Source organism: Homo sapiens, chromosome 9, assembly GCF_000001405.40.
Source record: "Homo sapiens chromosome 9, GRCh38.p14 Primary Assembly".
NCBI lineage: Eukaryota > Metazoa > Chordata > Mammalia > Primates > Hominidae > Homo > Homo sapiens.
This window is the reverse complement of record NC_000009.12, coordinates 92,764,118-92,782,008: the sequence shown is the minus strand read 5'-3', so window position 1 is coordinate 92,782,008 and position 17,891 is coordinate 92,764,118. Positions and strand designations below refer to the sequence as shown.

At 48.4% G+C, this 17,891-nt stretch overlaps 1 protein-coding gene across 3 annotated transcripts in view, besides 2 other annotated features; it reads left to right on the top strand.

Moving 5' to 3' along the window:
- Positions 15,584-15,633: a silencer, noted in NCBI's record as "silent region_20033". NCBI's record gives its function as "represses an Ori minimal core promoter by ATAC-STARR-seq in GM12878 lymphoblastoid cells {active_cell/tissue: GM12878}" and the evidence as "EXISTENCE:reporter gene assay evidence [ECO:0000049][PMID:35858748]".
- Positions 16,486-17,225: a silencer, noted in NCBI's record as "silent region_20032". NCBI's record gives its function as "represses an Ori minimal core promoter by ATAC-STARR-seq in GM12878 lymphoblastoid cells {active_cell/tissue: GM12878}" and the evidence as "EXISTENCE:reporter gene assay evidence [ECO:0000049][PMID:35858748]".
- Positions 17,176-17,891, top strand: part of BICD2 (BICD cargo adaptor 2) — a 53,471-nt gene continuing 52,755 nt past the window's right edge. For 2 of the 3 annotated variants that reach the window (NM_015250.4, NM_001003800.2), the window contains exon 1: positions 17,176-17,504. In NM_015250.4, the coding sequence (NP_056065.1) occupies positions 17,265-17,504 (240 nt within the window). In that variant the 5' untranslated portion in view covers positions 17,176-17,264. Of the gene's footprint in view, positions 17,586-17,891 lie in introns of all 3 variants that reach the window. The other variant, XM_017014551.2, reaches the window with a different exon arrangement.

Sequence of the window (17,891 nt, the reverse complement as noted above, 5' to 3'; positions counted from 1 at the left end):
AAGTGGATTTAGGTTTCCCAACTCAGTGGCAGCAGTTCTCACTGTAATTTTTACCTACAGATAAAAGCAACCACACAGGTTTTCAAAGATGCCGGGACTCCCTCACAAATTTATTTCTCACAATCATGGTGAAAGGTATGTTCTCTGAACCCACCAGGGGCAGAGAAGCCAGTCTTGCATAAGAAATCCACTCTACCATTCCAGTCTCCCTAAGCCTCTGGATACCTTCTACTAGAATACACCAAGGCAGTTCTGACACTTCAACTTCATTTAGTGCAGGCCACCTTTTGGTTCATGTTTCAGCCAACTAACCAACCAAACAGTTAGAGTTCTTTCCATCCATCTGAGCCACAACACTGAGTCTAGAATCTCTGCTTTGTGACAATACATATTCTCCATATTTCTATCTGTATAAACTGGAAAAATCATGCAGTTCGTTTGAAGTGTAACGCATCTCCTTGTGGGTCATACTTTGTGCCTCATCTTTCAAGGCCTGCTTAGAGTAATTCTAGTTGTCGGTATAGATGCAAAGACAGGTGGTGATGGGTGGATGAGTGGGTCCTGAGGAAAATTAGCAATGTTTTGTAAGACAATTTTCTCAGGGAGCCATTACAGTTTCCTCAAACAAAGCAGAATTAATCTCCTCAGATGTGGGTGGAACAGCTTCTACTGGCAAAGAAAACACATCTGAATTTAGAAATTTAATGTTCCCAGCTTCATCCAGATCTCCCCATGTGTCTCCATCTGTCTTAGAACATTTAGTGTTGCTATAAAGGAATACCTGAAGCTAGGTAATTTATAAAGAAAAAAGGTTTATTTGGCTCATAGTTCTGATGGTTGGAAAGTTCAAGATTTGGCATCATCTTCTGCCAATGGGTCTCAGGCTGCTCAGGCTTCTTCCACTCATAGCAGAAGGCAAAGGGAAGCCCATGAGTGCAGACACCACATGGCAAAAGAAGAGGAAAGAGAGGACAAAGGGGTTTCAGTCTCTTTTTAACAACCAGCTCTTGCAGGAACTAATAGAGAGAGAACTCACTCACCCACAAGGGAGGGCATTACTCTATTCATGAGACATTCACCCCCATGACCCAAACACCTCCCATTAGGCCCCACTTCCAACATTTTGGTCAAATTTTATCATGAGATTTGGAAGGGACAAACATCCAAACCATAGCACCATCTCAATTTTCAGGATCCCATTCCTTCCCAATCAATGTTTTCACTTTAGCATCAGACACCATGGAGGATTGGAAAATCAGTTTGCTTTGTAACTCAGCTGATTATAGGATGAGACTCTGGGTTTGACTCTTAGCAATCTCATCTCTGTGGCTACCGAAGATAAGGGTTTTTGCCAGAGCAGACATTGAAGCTTTCAGGTCATTTATACAGAGCTTGAGTTGGGAATTCAGATCCCTAGGGTCCTTTATCTGTTTCCCCACTTTTCCCATGCAATTAGGAGCAACCAGCCAATGTCATTATATTTGCTAGTGTTTTTGTCCATTTTGTGCTGCTATAATGTAATACCTGAGACTGAGTAATTTATAATAACAGAAATGTATTGGCTCATGGTTCTGAGCTGGGAAGTTCCAGATCTAGCAGTTGGCATCTGACAAGGACCTTCTTGCTGCATCATCTTCTCATGGCAGAAAGCAGAAGAGGAAGAGAGAGAATAAATGACAGCTGAACTCCCTCTTTTACAACAAATCCTCCCCTGGGATAACAGCATTAATTCATTCACTTTGCCCTCATGGCCTAATCACCTCTCATTAGACCCTACCTCCTGACAATGCCAGATTGGGGATCAAGTTTCCAATCATGAACAATAGGGGATACATCAAATTGCAGCAGTTAGTCTGACTAAAATGTTCCAAGATATAAAATACATGGTCACCCAGAAACTTACCTCCAATAAATATTTGATTAGGAGTATCAAAGGGTGATATTTTTATATATGTATTGCCAGATCATGCCATGGATTATCAGTGTTGTCTTTACTGCCAGAAATAGAGTCATCAGTGTCTTCAAATATAATCAAATTGAGAACCAATTCCAGAAACCCTAGAGCTAATTAAGAAAGCTCATCCTTAAGGCCGGGCACAGTGGCTCATGCCTGTAATCCCAGCACTTTGGGAAGCCAAGGCAGGTGGATCACTGAACGTCAGGAGTTTGAGACCAGCCTGGCCAACATGATGAAACCCCTGTCTCTGCTAAAAATACAAAAATTAGCCAGGCATGGTAGCATGCACCTATATAGTCCCGGCTACTCGGGAGCCTGAGACAGGAGAATCACTTGAACCTGGGAGGTGGAGGTTGCAGTGAGCCAAGATTGTGCCACTGCAGTCCAGCCTGGGTGACAGAGTGAGACTCTATCTAAAAAAAGAAAAAAAAAAGGAAAGAAAGAAAGCTCATCCTTAATATTCTGTTCCTCTAGATACCTCTAGATACACTCTTGGTACCAAAATCTATATCAGTCAGAATTCTCCAGAGAAAGAGAACCGGTAGGATAGATAAGATAGGTAAATAAGTAGACGGTAGACAGATAGACAGACAGATAGATAAAAAGATAGATAAAGATATTTACTTCATAGAATTGGCTTTTGCTACTGACTTAGGCTGAATTTTGTAGGGCAGCCTGGAAAATCTTGGGCAAGAGTTGATGCTGTGGTCTTATAGCAGAATTTCTTCTTCACGGAAACAAATTTTGCTTTTAAGACCTTTCAGTTGGTTAGATGACACTCACCCACAGTATGCAGGATAATCTCCTTTACTTAATGTCAACTGGTTGTAGGTATTAACCATATCTACAAAGTACCATCACAGCAACACCTAAATTAGTGTTTGATTGAATAACTGGGTACTATAACCTAGCCAAGTTGACACACAAAACTAACCATCACAGTGGTCAAGTAATGATTTGACAGATTGTTCTGTAAATGCCTGGAACCAGTAAGTCTCCAAGTCTTTGCCAGGAGGCTTTATATGTGCACTAGGGAATGCCTTTGCCACTCAGCCAGGTGGCGTAAGCTCTGCCTTAGCCTTCACTTCCTGCTTGTGCATATCCTCTCGGTCAGTCAGAGGTGAGACCTTCTCATGTCTTTCCTGAGCATGCACACTGCAGCATACAGCCCTGGGCATGCACATGGCCTCCCAGATCTTCAGGAATATGTTTGTGCTTTTCTTTTCTTTTTTTTTTTTTGACAGGGTCTCACTCTGTCACCCAGGCTGGAGTGCAATGGCGTGATCTCAGCTCACTGCAACCTCCGCCTCCTGGGTTCAAGCCATTCTCCTGCCTCAGCCTCCCGAGTAGCTGGGACTACAGGCACCCACCACCACACCCAGCTAATTTTTTGTATTTTTAGTAGAGATGGGGTTTCACCGTGTTAGCCAGGATGGTCTTGATCTCCTGACCTCATGATCCGCCCGCCTCGGCCTCCCAAAGTGCTGGGATTACAGGTGTAAGCCACCGTGCCCGGCCAGCAATTCCCTGTTTTAAAACATTTTTATGTCCAGGAGCGGTGGCTCATGCCTGTAATCCCAGCACTTTGGGAGGCCGAGGCGGTCAGATCACCTGAGGTCGGGAGTTCGAGACCAGCCTGACCAACATGGAGAAACTCTGTCTCTACTAAAAATTCAAAATTAGCTGGGCATGGTGGTGCATGCCTGTAATCCCAGCTACTCAGGAGGCTGAGGCAGGAGAATGGCTTGAACCTGGGAGGCGGAGTTTGCAGTGAGCTGAGATCGAGCCACTGTACTCCAATCTGGGCAACAAGAGTGAAACTCCGTTTCAAAAAAAAAAAAAAAAAATTAAAACATTTTCATTACCTCCAAAAGTTTGTTTAAGCCCTGTTTGCTGTAAGTCCTCACTTCCATCCTCAGCCCTAGGCAACCACTGTCTTTACAATTTTTACGGGCCTGGCATGGTGGCTCCGCCTGTAATCCCAGCACTTTGGGAGGCTGAGGAGGGTGGATCACAAGGTCAGGAGATCAAGACCATCCTGGCTAACACAGTGAAACCCCATCTCTACTTAAAATACAAAAAATTAGCCAGGCGTGGTGGCAGGTGCCTGTAGTCCCAGCTACTGGGGAGGCTGAGACAGGAGAATGGCATGAACCCAGGAGGTGGAGCTTGCAGTGAGCCGAGATTGTGCCACTGCACTCCAGCCTGGGCGACAGAGAGAGACTCTGTCTCAAAATAAATAAATAAATAAAATAAAATAAAATTTTTACTTTTCTGGGAATTTCATATAAATAGAATTATGAAAGAGATGGTCTTTTCTTCTTCCATGTCATAATGTTTTTTAGGTTTTTTACATATTGTGGAATGATCGGTATTTAATTTCTTTTCTTTTTTTTTTTTTTTGCCAAAGTACTCCTATATAGGAACATACATACCACATTTTGTTTATCCATTCTGTAGTTAATAAGCATTTGGATTTGTTCACATTTTGGCTATTTCGAATAATGCTGTTATGAACATTCTCATACCAATCTTTATATGGACATGTGTTTTCATATCTCTTGGGTAGAATCATAGAGGTAAAATTGCTGAGTCTTATGCTAAGTTTATATTTAGCCCTTTGAGAAACTGCCAAACTGATATGTAAAGAGAATGTACCTTTTTATACTCCAATCAGCAATTTATCACAAGGATTTCTCTCAAAATAAATAAAGAGAATGTACCTTTTTATACTCCAATCAGCAATTTATCACAAGGATTTCTCTCAAAATAAATAAAGAGAATGTACCTTTTTGTACTCCAATCAGCAATTTATGAAGGTTCCACTTGCTAAGCATGTTTATCAGCATTTGGAATTATCAGTCTTAATTTTAACCATTCTGATTGGTGTGTATTGGTATTGCATGGTGGCTTTAATTTGCTTTTCCTAATTACTTGTGATGTTGAGCACTTTTTCATGTGATTATGAGCCATTTGTATGTTTTCTTCGTTGAAATGTCTATTCAGGTCTCTTGCCCAATTTTAAATTGGGTTGTCCTCTTGTTATTGAGCTCTTCTTTTTATATTTTGTATAAAAGTTCTATATCAAATATAAGATCTGCAAATATTTTCTCCCAATTTATGCTTTATGCTTTGTCTTTTTGTTTTCTTCAAGGTTTTTTTTTTTTTTTTTTTTTGAGACGGAGTCTTGCTCTTTCGCCCATGCCGGAGTACAGTGGCGCTATCTCAGCTCACTGCAAGCTCCGCCTCCCGGGTTCACGCCATTCTCCTGCCTCAGCCTCCCAAGTAGCTGGGACGACTACAGGCGCCCGCCACCGCGGCCGGCTAATTTTTTGTATTTCCCCGTGTTAGCCAGGATGGTCTTCATCTCCTGACTTCGTGACCCACCCGCTTCGGCCTCCCAAAGTGCTGGGATTACAGGAGTGAGCCACCGCGCCCGGCCATGGAATGAAGTTTAATTGGCTGGGCTGGTGGGGAGCGTGGAGTTCACCCCTGTAGTCCCAGCACTTTGGAAGACCAAGGTGGGGGGATCCCTTGAGCCCAGGAGTCTGGGCAACATGGTAAAACCCTGTCTGTACAAAAAAATACTATTTGGAGTTTGACATGATGAAGTTAGCAGATCCACAAATCTCCCCACAAAGCACCTATGATCTGTAGAAAACCATCAAGGCGGCCGGGCGCAGTGGCTCACGCCTGTAATCCCAGCACTTTGGGAGGCCAAGGCGGGTGGATCACGAGGTCAGGAGATCGAGACCATCCTGGCTAACACGGTGAAACCCTGTCTCTACTAAAAATACAAAAAATTAGCCGGGCGTGGTGGCGGGTGCCTGTAGTACCAGCTACTCAGGAGGCTGAGGCAGCAGAATGGCGTGAACCCAGGAGGCGGAGCTTGCAGTGAGCCAAGATCGCGCCACTGCACTCCAGCCTGGGCAACAGAGGGAGACTCCGTCTCAAAAAAAAAAAAAGAAAAGAAAAAAAAAAGAAAACCATCAAGGCAGCTAAAAAAAAGTTTCAGTGCTCTGGAAATTTGCCAAATGTGTATATAAAACTGAGAAGTGTTCATTCATGAAAATTTCTTAGGCTGGACGCAGTGGCTCATGCCTGTAATCCCAATACGTTGGGAGGGCTAGGTGGGCAGATTGCTTGAGCTCAGGAGTTGAAGACCAGCTGGGGCAGCATGGTGAAACCCTGTCTCTACAAAAAATACATAAATTAGCCGGGTCTGGTGGTGCGTACCTGTAGTTGCAGCTACTTGGGAGACTGAGGCTGGAGAATCACTTGAGCCCAGGAGGTGGAGGTTACAGTCAGCCAATATCATGCCACTGCACTCCAGCCTGGGCAAAAGAGTGAAACTCTGTCGCAAAGCAAAGCAAGAAAAAAGGAAGGAAGGGAGGGAGGGAGGAAGGAAGGAAGAATTGCTTAACTGTGGGTGCAAATAGCGAAAGTCTGTGATGTTCCTACCTGGGGAAACTGTCATAACTTCCCAACACTGTTTAATTTGATGAATGTGGGGGCAGATAAAGAAACTATTACCTTTGATTACACTACCAGAGGGATGTCGGTTGATTTTTTTTTAATTTTATTTTTTTTAGAGATGGAGTCTTGCTCTGTCGCCCAGGCTGGAGTGCAGTGGCGTGATCTTGGCTCACTGGCTCACTGCAAGCTCTGCCTCCTGGGTTCACCAGCCATGCTCCTGCCTCAGCCTCCCAAGTAGCTGGGACTACAGGCGCTCGCCACCACGCCCAGGTTTCATCATGTTAGCCAGGATGGTCTCGATCTCCTGACCTCGTGATCCACCCGCCTTGGCCTCCCAAAGTGCTGGGATTACAGGCGTGAGCCACCGCACCCGGCCAACTTGATTTAAATACTGTCAGCTAAGTTGGATCTCACTGACAAGTGATCAGGGATGTCCAGCAGCTCTGCTAACCTGAAGTGTGACCTTTTCTGTTTTGTTTGTTTGTTTGCTTGAGACGCAGTCTCACTTTGCTGCCCAGGCTGGAGTGCAGTGGTGCCATCTCTACTCACTGCAACCTCCACCTCCCAGGTTCAAGCAATTCTGTCTCAGCCTCTCCAGTAGCTGGGATTACAGGCATGCACCATCACACCCAGTTAATTTTTGTATTTTTAGTAGAGACAGGGTTTTGCCATATTGGCCAGGCTGGTCTCGATCTCTTGACTTTAAGTAACCTGCCCACCTCAGCATCCCAAAGTGCTGGGATTACAGGCATGAGCCGCTGTACCTGGCCTAAACTCAGATCTTTTTGGAACAAGAAATGGAACAAAATGATAGATAAGCTTTTGCTAAGGAGGCCCAGGTGGTGAGACAGCAATAGGGGGCTTGATAAACTCTCACATATGCCACATTGAGCAGAGGATGAGCACATCTGTAACAAAGATTGGATTGAGCTGAAGCCACTCATGCATCTCTGGCCAACTGAATATGACTATTTATGCAGAGAAGATGCAAGAGATCCTAGTGGAATCTAACAGCTAGAGTAGACTTGAATGTGGCCTGTGGTTAGAAGGTGCTCCGCTGCCAAATTGCAGATCCATCAGCACAGTGTGGGAGCCTAATTGGCTGTAAGCATAGTCTGACTAATGCTTACATTAGCTGAATGCTAATGTATGAAGTCACAGTGGCAAAACCTAGGAAGCAGGGCTTAAACATAAAATAAGAAGAAAGCAGCCACATATTGCTGAGGAGACAGAGTTCACAAACAAACAAAACAAAAACAATAGTGCACAAGAGGGGGAATTGGAATCCAGAGTTGCTTCAATACATTATCTCAAATGTCAAGTATTCAATAAAACATTATAAGACACACAAAGACCTATCCTCAGGAAAAAGAGAATTCAATAGAAATTGTGTCTGATTGTCCTCAGATATTGGATTTAGCAGACAGAGGCTTCAAAGCAAAGCAGCTATTACAAATAAGTTCAAAAAGTTAAAGAAATCCCTATTTAAATAAGCAAAAGAATGGATTATGGCAATGAATCAACAAACAGAAAACCCCAGTAAAGACAGAGGTTGTGAAAAGTACCCTTCATCCAGTTTCCCACACATTTTCTTCAAAGAAGAAACACAAACGGCAAATAAGCACCTGAAAAGATACTCAATATCAGTTGATCATTAGGGAAATGTAATGATTCCAAACCATACAAATCAAAACCATAATGAGATACCACTTCTCACCCACTGGGACGGTTTTTTTGTTTGTTTGTTTGTTTGTTTTTTTGAGACGGAGTCTCGCTCTATCGCCCAGGCTGGAGTGCAGTGGCACTATCTCCGCTTACTGCAAGCTCCACCTCCCAGGTTCACGTCATTCTCCTGCCTCAGCCTCCCAAGTAGCTGGGACTACAGGCATGCACCACCACACCTGGCTAATTTTTTGTATTTTTAGTAGAGACAGGGTTTCACCATGGTAGCCAGGATGGTCTCGATCTCCTGACCTCGTGATCCACCCGCCTCGGCCTCCCAAAGTGCTGGGATTACAAGCATAAGCCACCGTGCCTGGCTTGGGACAGTTATTTTAAAAATGGAAGTAACAAGTACTGATGAGAATTTGGAGAAATTGGAACCCTTGTGCCTTGCTGGTGGCAATGTAAAATGGTGCGGCTGCTATAAAAAACATGGCGATTCTGCAAAAAGCCAAACAAAATTACTACATGACCCAGCAATTCCACTTCTAGGTACATCCTCAAAAGAATTGAAAGCAGAGCCTCAAGCAGATACTTGTATAGCCATTTTCACAATAGCATTCAAAATAGTCAAAGGGGGCCAGTTGCGGTGGCTCACACCTGTAATCCCAGCACTTTGGGAGGCCGAGGCGGGGGGATCATGAGGTCAGGAGATTGAGACCATCCTGGCTGACATTGTGAAATCCTGTCTCCACTAAAAATACAAAAAATTAGCTGGGTGTGGTGGCAGGTGCCTGTAGTCCCAGTTACTCAGGAGGCTGAGGCAGGAGAATGGTGTGAACCCGGGAGGCAGAGCTTGCAGTGAGCCGAGATTGGGCCACTGCACTCCAGCCTGGGTGACAGAGTGACTCTGTCTCAAAAAAAAAAAAAAAAAAATAGTCGAAGGGGTAGAAACAACCAGCCTATACTAACAGACAAATGGATTAAGAAAATGTGCTACATTCATACAAATGGAACAATATTCAGCCACAAATGGAATGAATTTCTGATACAACATGGCTGAGCCTTGAAAACACTATGCTAAGATGTAACAATCGCTTCTCCTGAACCTGTCTGCGCTGAGCCAACTGCAGCCCCACACAGCATGGAGCTGCAGGGCTGTGAGACACCAGCAGCTCTTTCTCACCTCTCCATGCAAGTGTGCATGTGTGTGTGTGTGCAGACACACACACTCACACACACACTCCGTCTTGCTCCTCTTCCCTGAATTTACCCCCGGGCCACACTCATCCATGATTCCACATCTTTGTGTCTCTGGGGCCTTCTCTCTGGAGCATATTTTCCACGACTGGCAAAAACCTGCTCTCTCGAGATGCAACCCACTGTCACCCATTCTGTGCCATCTTCTGAGTCCTGCAGATGGAGTGTTGCCTCTCCCAGCCTCCCGAGTGCAGCAGAGTCAGCCACTGAAGTCTGTTCTATCTGCAACATGAACCTCCGAGGGCTGGGCTGTGTCCTGCTGCACCCAGGGAAGGCTGGTGGGCAGGGAGCTGGGATCTGGAGTCACATGGACCAGGGTTCAGATCCTGGGCTTCTCCAGTTATACCCTATGATATCTTGGACAAGTCATCCACCTTATTGTGCTCCAGTTTCCTGGTCTATAAAATGAAAACAGTGGTACCTGCTTTGTAACCTGTTTGTGAGGCTTAAGAAAGATAGTGAATATTTGCAATGTGCTAGACATAGGGCTTGGAGCAGGGTAAATGCTCAGCACATATTTTGGGGTCTTCACCACTATCATTGTTCCTGGACTGAACCGAGGGTGGGGCTGCTTGTTCTCCTGGTCCAGTAATGAGATGCAGATGACCTGGGAAAGAAGAGTTTATTTCTGTAAACAGTTACAGGGAGAAGGGCAGGGGCAATTCACCAGACCAACTCAAAGTTACAAAGCTTTTCCAGTGCTTACACACCTTCTAAGCTATATGTCTACTTGCTAGTGTGCACTCATCTAAAGACCCAAGTGATGGATTCCATGTAATCTATAACTAAGGTGTGGGTCAACCGGGCACAGTGGCTTAGGCCTATAATCCCAGCACTTTGGGAGGCTGAGGTGGGTGGATCACCTGAGGTCAGGAGTTCGAGATCAGCCTGACCAATATGGTGAAACCCCGTCTCTACTAAAAATACAAAAATTAGCTAGACGTGGTGGCGTGTGCCTGTAGTCCCAGCTACTCTGGAGGCTGAGATAGTCATTACCCTTATCTTGTCTCCAGCTAAGGTATGGAGGTCTGGGGAATTTCTTTAGACCCCTAATAAAACTTGCTTAATCCTAAACAGGTCCTGGTATGAGGAATGTAAGAATTCCTTCATTGTCTTGACATGTTTCAAGGCCCAGGAGAGGCCCGGGCAAGACTCTTGGAGGGCGTCTGTTACATTCTAGCCATTGTGTATGCGCACTGGCTCTTTCAGCCTTTACTATCTAACCATTCAGTCAGTGCTGAAGCAGTTGTTATGGAGGCCTACCTGTTCAACTGTTAGTGAGACCTGGCCTGCCACATCATCATTACTGTCTAAATTCCTAGCACAGAGGAGTTTATCAAATGCGTGATATCTGGGCCAAAGATCTTTTTTTTTTTCTTTGAGACAGAGTCTTCCTCTGTCGCCCAGGCTGGAGTGCTGGCGAGATCTCAGCTCACTGCAATCTCTGCCTTCCAGGTTCAAGTGATTCTCCTGCCTCAGCCTAGCTGGGAATAGTCCCAGAGTAGCTGGGACTACAGGTGCCCGCCACCACGCCCAGCTCATTTTTGTATTTTAGTAGAGACAGGGCTTCACCATGTTGGCCAGGCTGGCCTTGAACCCCTGACCTCAGGTGATTCACCTGCCTTGGTGTCTCAAAATGCTGGGATTACAGGCGTGAGCCACCATGCCCAACCTGGGCCAAAGATCCTTTGACGTCATACAGCATGAAAGTGTGGGGGCTGCCATGTGACTCACCATGCGGGTGGCCCAAGCCACATACACCTGGCAGGCCATCACCTGTTGGGGAGATGGCTTTACTCCTCAGCCAGTGAGGGGCAGAGAGGAGACAGGGGAAGGTGCTTACGTGGGTAGGCAGAGCTCTCCAGGGAACAGTGAGGAAGGAGGGGAGGCTGAGCTGCCAGAGTGACTACACACCAGGTTAGGTTTGAGCCTGGGCATGTCTGTGTGTGAGGACACTGCCAGCCTTTGCCTGGGCCCCTGGGGAGTCTTTGTTTATGTGCAAAGGCAGAGCAGCTTGGTTGGGAGAACATCACTTCCTGTTTTGTTGCCAGGCCCCAGCTAAGCGGTCCAGTTCTCCTAGAGGGAGCCACCCAGCTGTTCCCTGACACCCCTCAAGCCCCTCTCCCTCCCACCTCTGCTGAGGCCGCCTCCCTTATCTTATGTATCCTGCCTTCCTGGTGGAGGGCGCTTGTGTCCAGGAAGTGGTGCATGGTGAGCCCAGCCTGGTCTGTATCCGCTGAGCCCTGACCCCTAAGGGACCTTGGTTGGTGTCCCTGATATGGGTCCCAAGACTCACTAGGCCTCATCAAAGCTCCTGCCCTCCTAGAGCTAACATTCTAGGGGGACATAAGTGCACAAAGGTGAATATGCACAACATACAGTATGCAACAGAGGGAGGGAAATAGAACCAGGGAAGGGAGTCTGCAGCCTACAGCCGTGAGGGTGTAACCAAAAATAAAATTTGAAGGCACGCCCAACCATCTGAATGAACCTCCTCCTCAGCCAGGGCATTCTAAAATTTAACTTGAAAGACTAACCTGTTCAGGCCATGACATGAAGTGGGGGTTGGACATGCCCAGGGTTTATTTTACATCAACACAAACTTTAAGTCTGATAAGAAACATTTACAGTCTAGTATATCTAAAGCCTGCTATTTAAAGGTTTCATATGCATGATAAAACCTCAGCCTTTACAACCCCTGATGATAAACCAGACATTCCTTTCTACTGATAATAAATAACTTTTTCAACCAATTGCAGTCAGAATATGTTTAAATCTACCTAAGACCTGGAAGACCCCCCACCCCTTGTACACTTCAAGTTGTCCCGCCCTTCTAGATGGAACCAATGTAAATCTTACATGTATTGATTGATGTATCACTGTTACTGGAAAGGGGTTCTGATCCAGACCCCAAAAGAGGGTTCCTGGACTTCGTGCAAAAAAGAATTCTGGGTGACTCCATAGAGTAAAGTGAAAGCAAGTTTATTAGGAAAGTAAAGGAATAAAGAGTGGCTACTCCATAGGCAGAGCAGCATCATGGGCTGCTTGACTAAGGATACTTATAGTCATTTCTTGATGATATGCTAAAGAAGGGTGGATTATTCATGAGTTTTCTGGGGAAGTGGTAGGCACTTTGCAGAACTGAGGGTTCATCCCCTTGTTAGACCATATAGGGTAACTTCCTGACATTGGCATGGCATTTGTAAACTGTCACGGCGCTGGTGTGAGTGTCTTAGCATGCTAATGCATTATAACTAGCACATTATGAGCAGTGAGAATGACTAGAGGTCACTTTTATTGCCATCTTGGTTTTGGTGGGTTTTGTCTGCCTTCTTTTTTTTTTTTGAGGCAGAGTCTCGTTCTGTCACCCAGGCTGGAGTGTGGTGGCGTGATCTTGGCTCACTGCAAACTCTGCCTCTCGGGTTCAAGCAATTCTCCTGCCTCAGCCTCCCGAGTAGCTGGGATTACAGGCACCCGCCACCACTCCCGGCTAATTTTTGTATTTTTTTAGTAGAGACGGGGTTTCACCATGGTGGCCAGGTTGGTCTCGCATTCCTGACCTCAGGTCATCTGCCCGCCTCAGCCTCCCAAAGTGCTCGGATTAAAGGCGTGAGCCACCGTGCCCAGCCTTGTCTGGCTTCTTTACTGCAACCTGTTTTATCAGCACGGTCTTTGTGACCTTTATCTTGTGCCAACCTCCTATCTCATCCTGTGAGTTAGAATGCCTAACTTCCTGGGAATGCTGCCCAGTAGGTCTCAGCCTTATTTTACTCAGCCCCTATTTGAGATGGAGTTGCTCTGGTTCAAATGTCTCTGACATTATGTCTCCCAAAAATGTATAAAAGCAAGCTGTACCTTGACCACCTTGGGCACATGTCATTAGGATCTCCTAAGGCTGTGTCATGGATGCATCCTTAACCTTGGCAAAATAAACTTTCTGAGTTGATTAAGATTTGTCTCAGATACTTTTTGGTTTACAAGAGCTACACAAGAGGAGAGGGGAAGGAAGAGGTTGAGGAAGGGCCACACTTGAGCGTGCAGGGCCTTGGAGGTAGCTGTGATGATGGGGCTTTGACTTTGGTTGGGTTTTGAGCAGAGTGGGAATGGGACCTGACTTGGGTCTAAGGAAACTCTTGGCTGCCCTGCTGTGAGAGAAGCCTAGGGGAAGGAGGAGGCAAGGAGGCAGTGAGAGGGTGACGGTAATGGTCCAGGTGATAGGGACTGGGGCAGAGAAATTCCAGGTAGAAAAGGGCGGGTCCCTGGTGAAGCCTCACCGTCAAGCTGAAAGGCCTGAAACCGCAGCCCAAAATAAGAACTTATATCCCTGTTTCCCACTCAAATGTCGCTGTTTCCTAAACTACCCATGGCCCCGCCCTGCCCCATCCTTTGCCTATAAGGACCCCAGGCTCAGCCAGCAGACAGGAGAAGCAGCTGGATGTCGGGGACTATGGCTGGATGTTGGAGAGAAGCGGCTTGACTTCAGAGTGACAGCTTGATGGTGTAACTTTGGAGAAGAGTCTGGCCAGAGACAGAGAGACTTGAGGAGAAGAAGGTGGCATCATTTCTACCCCTCAGGGTATTGTGAAGATTGAATGAGAAGATGTATGTCACGTACCTGGCAATGTTGGGAACACATGCAGAGCTCAGTAAGAGGTGGCTCATTATCTGCTGCCAGGATCACCCTGCTTCTCTTATCTTTGCAAGCCCCCTATTCCTGCAGCCTTGGGCTGGCCAGTTCCTGTGCATCCTCTGGGTCTCCCTCAGGTGTCTTCTCAGGGAAGCCTTTCCCGATCCACCCCACCCCATCACACATTGCCACTCGCACCCAGAGCTGTCCCTCCTGCCAGAAGGAAGACCACAAGGGTAGTGACAGACCCTCTGCCCCCAGCACCTAGGAGAGTCCCTACCTGTAACAGAATGTTCCTGAAACCTTCCCTGGCCTCCCTTCCACCACCACCTGTTTCCAAGTTCAAAGCGCCATGGTCAGTCCCTGCGTGGGACTCCCATGGTCTTTCTCCCTCCCTCCTCAGACCTGCCCCACAGCAAGGTATGGCGGGGGGTGGGGAGGTTCGAGTCAGATCAGCCTGGATCAGGTGCAGGTGTTGCCCTGAGGCTGTGTGACCTTGGGCAAGTCACTGTGGGGCATCAGTCCCTCCCTTGCTAAGTACACACTCAAACAAGTCTTGTTCCTTCTTTACACTGGGAGCTCTCCCACTTACAGTTAACAATTTGCCCAGCCCAAGACAGTCCCAGGTAAGCCAGGAAGGTTGGTCTTCCTATTCCTACTACAACTGAACTCCTTAAAATTAGTTAATTTCACAAGCCAATCTATGACACATTCTCCTCAGACAAACAAAACACTAAAAAGAATCAGGGCTCCTTGGGGAAATGACTGATTTCAGGTCTGGGACATGGAGAGCACAAGATGATCTTGGAACAATTTGCATCAGACATCAAGGAAGTAATAACAATAATAACAAATTACGATGTTTTGAAGACATGGAGCCAGCTTGGAGGAGCTCCCACGGGCCAAATCTGCTACCATTTGAGCATCAAAGCAAGTAAGGAAAGTAATGGATTGTAACCCACGGAGTAAAATAAGAATCCATGGATCCATACTGCTAATGAATGAGAGAGAAGGGAATAGATGAGAAGGTATAGGTGCCTCACAGTACAAAGGCAACTCATAAATGGAGAAGGACTAATGGAAATAGAAAAGCAGCCAGTATGGCTGGTCGCGGTCGCTCACGCCTGTAATCTTAACACTTTGGGAGGCCGAGGCAGGCAGATCACGAGGTCAAGAGATCGAGACCATCCTGGCCAACATGGTGAAACCCACTCTCTACTAAAAAAAAAAAAAAAAAAAAAAAAATTAGCTGGGCATGGTGGCATGCGCCTGTAGTCCCAGCTACTCGGGAGGCTGAGGCAGAATCACTTGAACCCGGGAAGCAGAGGTTGCAGTGAGCCGAAATTGCATCTCTGCCCTCCAGCCTGGGGACAGAGCGAGACTCTGTCTCAAAAAAAAAAAAAAAAAAAAAAAAAAAAAAGCAGACAGTATGGTAATAATTATTTCAGGCAAGAAGTAGTCATGAATGCCAAAACCAGTGGGTCAAGGTTTGAGGAGTCATAGGCTATATCTATGGTTGCAAAGTCTTCACTCATGACACTAATTACCAAAGAAAAACCCAGCATCAATCAGAGAAATGCAAATCGACATCACATACCTCCCGGCTGGTGCTCTGAAAACTCAGCAACACCTCAGTGACAGTCCTGCCAGAAACGCATCACCTCATCACCCCATGAGCATATACCAGTGTGCACTGCACTCCTCAGAAAGGTCAATCAAAGGAGACTCAGGAAACCTGACGACTGAATGCAACTGGATCCTGGACCACAAAAACAATACTGAAACTCTCCAGTATGGTGTTGGGCCCTCGTGCAATTAGAGTGTGGACTGTGCATTAGATAGTGTCAGTACCCTGTGTGCTGTGATTTCTGCTGTCATGGCTTCTTTCTAATTTGGTCTTGAGGGAGAGTGACCATAAGCCAAGATAGCCACTCTCTAGGAGAACCGAATGGGTGTGGGGTTCAGGTGAGATACAATGAGAAAGTAAAATTAAAAGGTACAAAACAGAAGGAATTTATTATTCTTAGGTTCCGGAGAGGTTAGGGATGCCTAAGAGAGGCGGACAAGCAGATGGAGAGGGGCAGTGAGAGACGGTGGGAAGGAAGGGACTATGGCTGTGCTAGGGTCCATGGAAATCATCCTTTAGGATTTCCCTTGGGGCCTGTGGACTGGCTAAAGAAAATACGAGGGAAGGGTGAACTCATCTGCACTGATACTGGCCATTAGGTGCTATGGCGGTCAGCGGCTGTGGGGTGTGTTGCGCTTTAGGTCAATGAGATAAAGAATAAACGAGTTATCTCACACACCACCATATACGGAGAAGTGTTACCTACGCCAAGGCGAAGGGTACGACTGGCTTTCAAACAACTTAAGTCAGGCCTAAAAATAGATGCGGAGACAACAATTATATTTACCACGTTTATGACCCTGTATTAATGGAAATGTCTTTATTCCCAAGAAATAGACCTTGAAGGACTGAGGGGCGGTGCTGAGGTTCCCGCTGGCCCCTGGGCGCCCCCTGCTGGCCCGTCCTCCTCCCGCCCCCAGACGTCTGCACAGAGCATGCGTCACACCGTCCACGGGTTTCCAGCAGCAGCCGTTCACCCGCGCTCTCGGATGCGCTTCTAGCTCGTGGCCTCCCGGGCTCTGTCCGCGTTGTTCGTCCCACGGTCGGGAGCCCAGTCCTGCCGCCCCGCACCCGCCTCCCCCTGGGGGTTCTCCCGGCAGCCGTCTTGCCACCCCGCGTGGCCGCCGGCTGCCAGAGGCACAGGGGAGCGCGAGGCCCGGCGACCGAGCAGTGTCCCCGGCTCTGAGTGTGGGGAAGGCCGCGGGGCCGCGCCCACTCGACCGCCGTCCAGGGGACTGCAAGGCGCCGGTACATCCGGCTCGACGCTGGCGGCGCAGGCCAATCACGGACGGGGACGGGTGGGCGCGGGGCTGGACGGGTTTTGTAGTCGGTGCGCTAGCGGGACTACTGTCCCCACAGCCCCCTGGGCCACATTGGCGTCAGTGGCTGCGCCCGAGGGCCCGCCCCTCACAGAGCATGGGCCAATCATAGCCGGGGGCCGGGCGGGCGCCGGGCATGATGGACCTTGTGGTCGGAGCGCAGGCAGGACTCCAGCCCCCAGCGGGCCCCGCGCGCCGGAGGGGAGGAGCCGTGCGGCGGCGCGGGCGGGCGGGCGGCCGTCGGGGCAGGGCGGCGGCGGCGGCGGCAGCGGCGGCGGCTGAGGAGGGCCCGGCCTGCGAGAGCCTCAGTGGGAGCCGGCTCAGCCCTCGGCCACCATGTCGGCGCCGTCGGAGGAGGAGGAGTACGCGCGGCTGGTGATGGAGGCGCAGCCGGAGTGGCTGCGCGCCGAGGTGAAGCGGCTGTCCCACGAGCTGGCCGAGACCACGCGTGAGAAGATCCAGGCGGCCGAGTACGGGCTGGCGGTGCTCGAGGAGAAGCACCAGCTCAAGCTGCAGTTCGAGGAGCTCGAGGTGGACTATGAGGCTATCCGCAGCGAGATGGAGCAGCTCAAGGAGGTGAGCCGAGCCGCCCTGCCCTGCGACCCCCGCCCGGCGCCGGGGCCTGTGGGCGTCGTCCCTGGCACCAGGGCGGCCAAGGTCAGCTTGCCAAGCGGGGGCCGGCAGGGGTGGGCCGCCGGGGCGGAGGGGGCACGGGCAGTATGTGGGAGTGGGCCCGGCCTTGGCTAGCAGGCCGGTGCCGCGGCCGTTGCAGACGCCGCTAATGCAGGGGTCCGGGCGCCTTGTCGCCTCCTGCAGCTGCCCGCCTGCTTCTGTGCGGACCTGGGCGGCCCCGGCGGGGCGGGGCTTCGTAAGGGCTGATGCTTTGCGGTGGTCGCTGTTCCGGGTGTGTCTGAGTGTGGGGTGGGGTTGGGAGGGCAGTGGCTGAGCCGGGAGCTGAGGCCA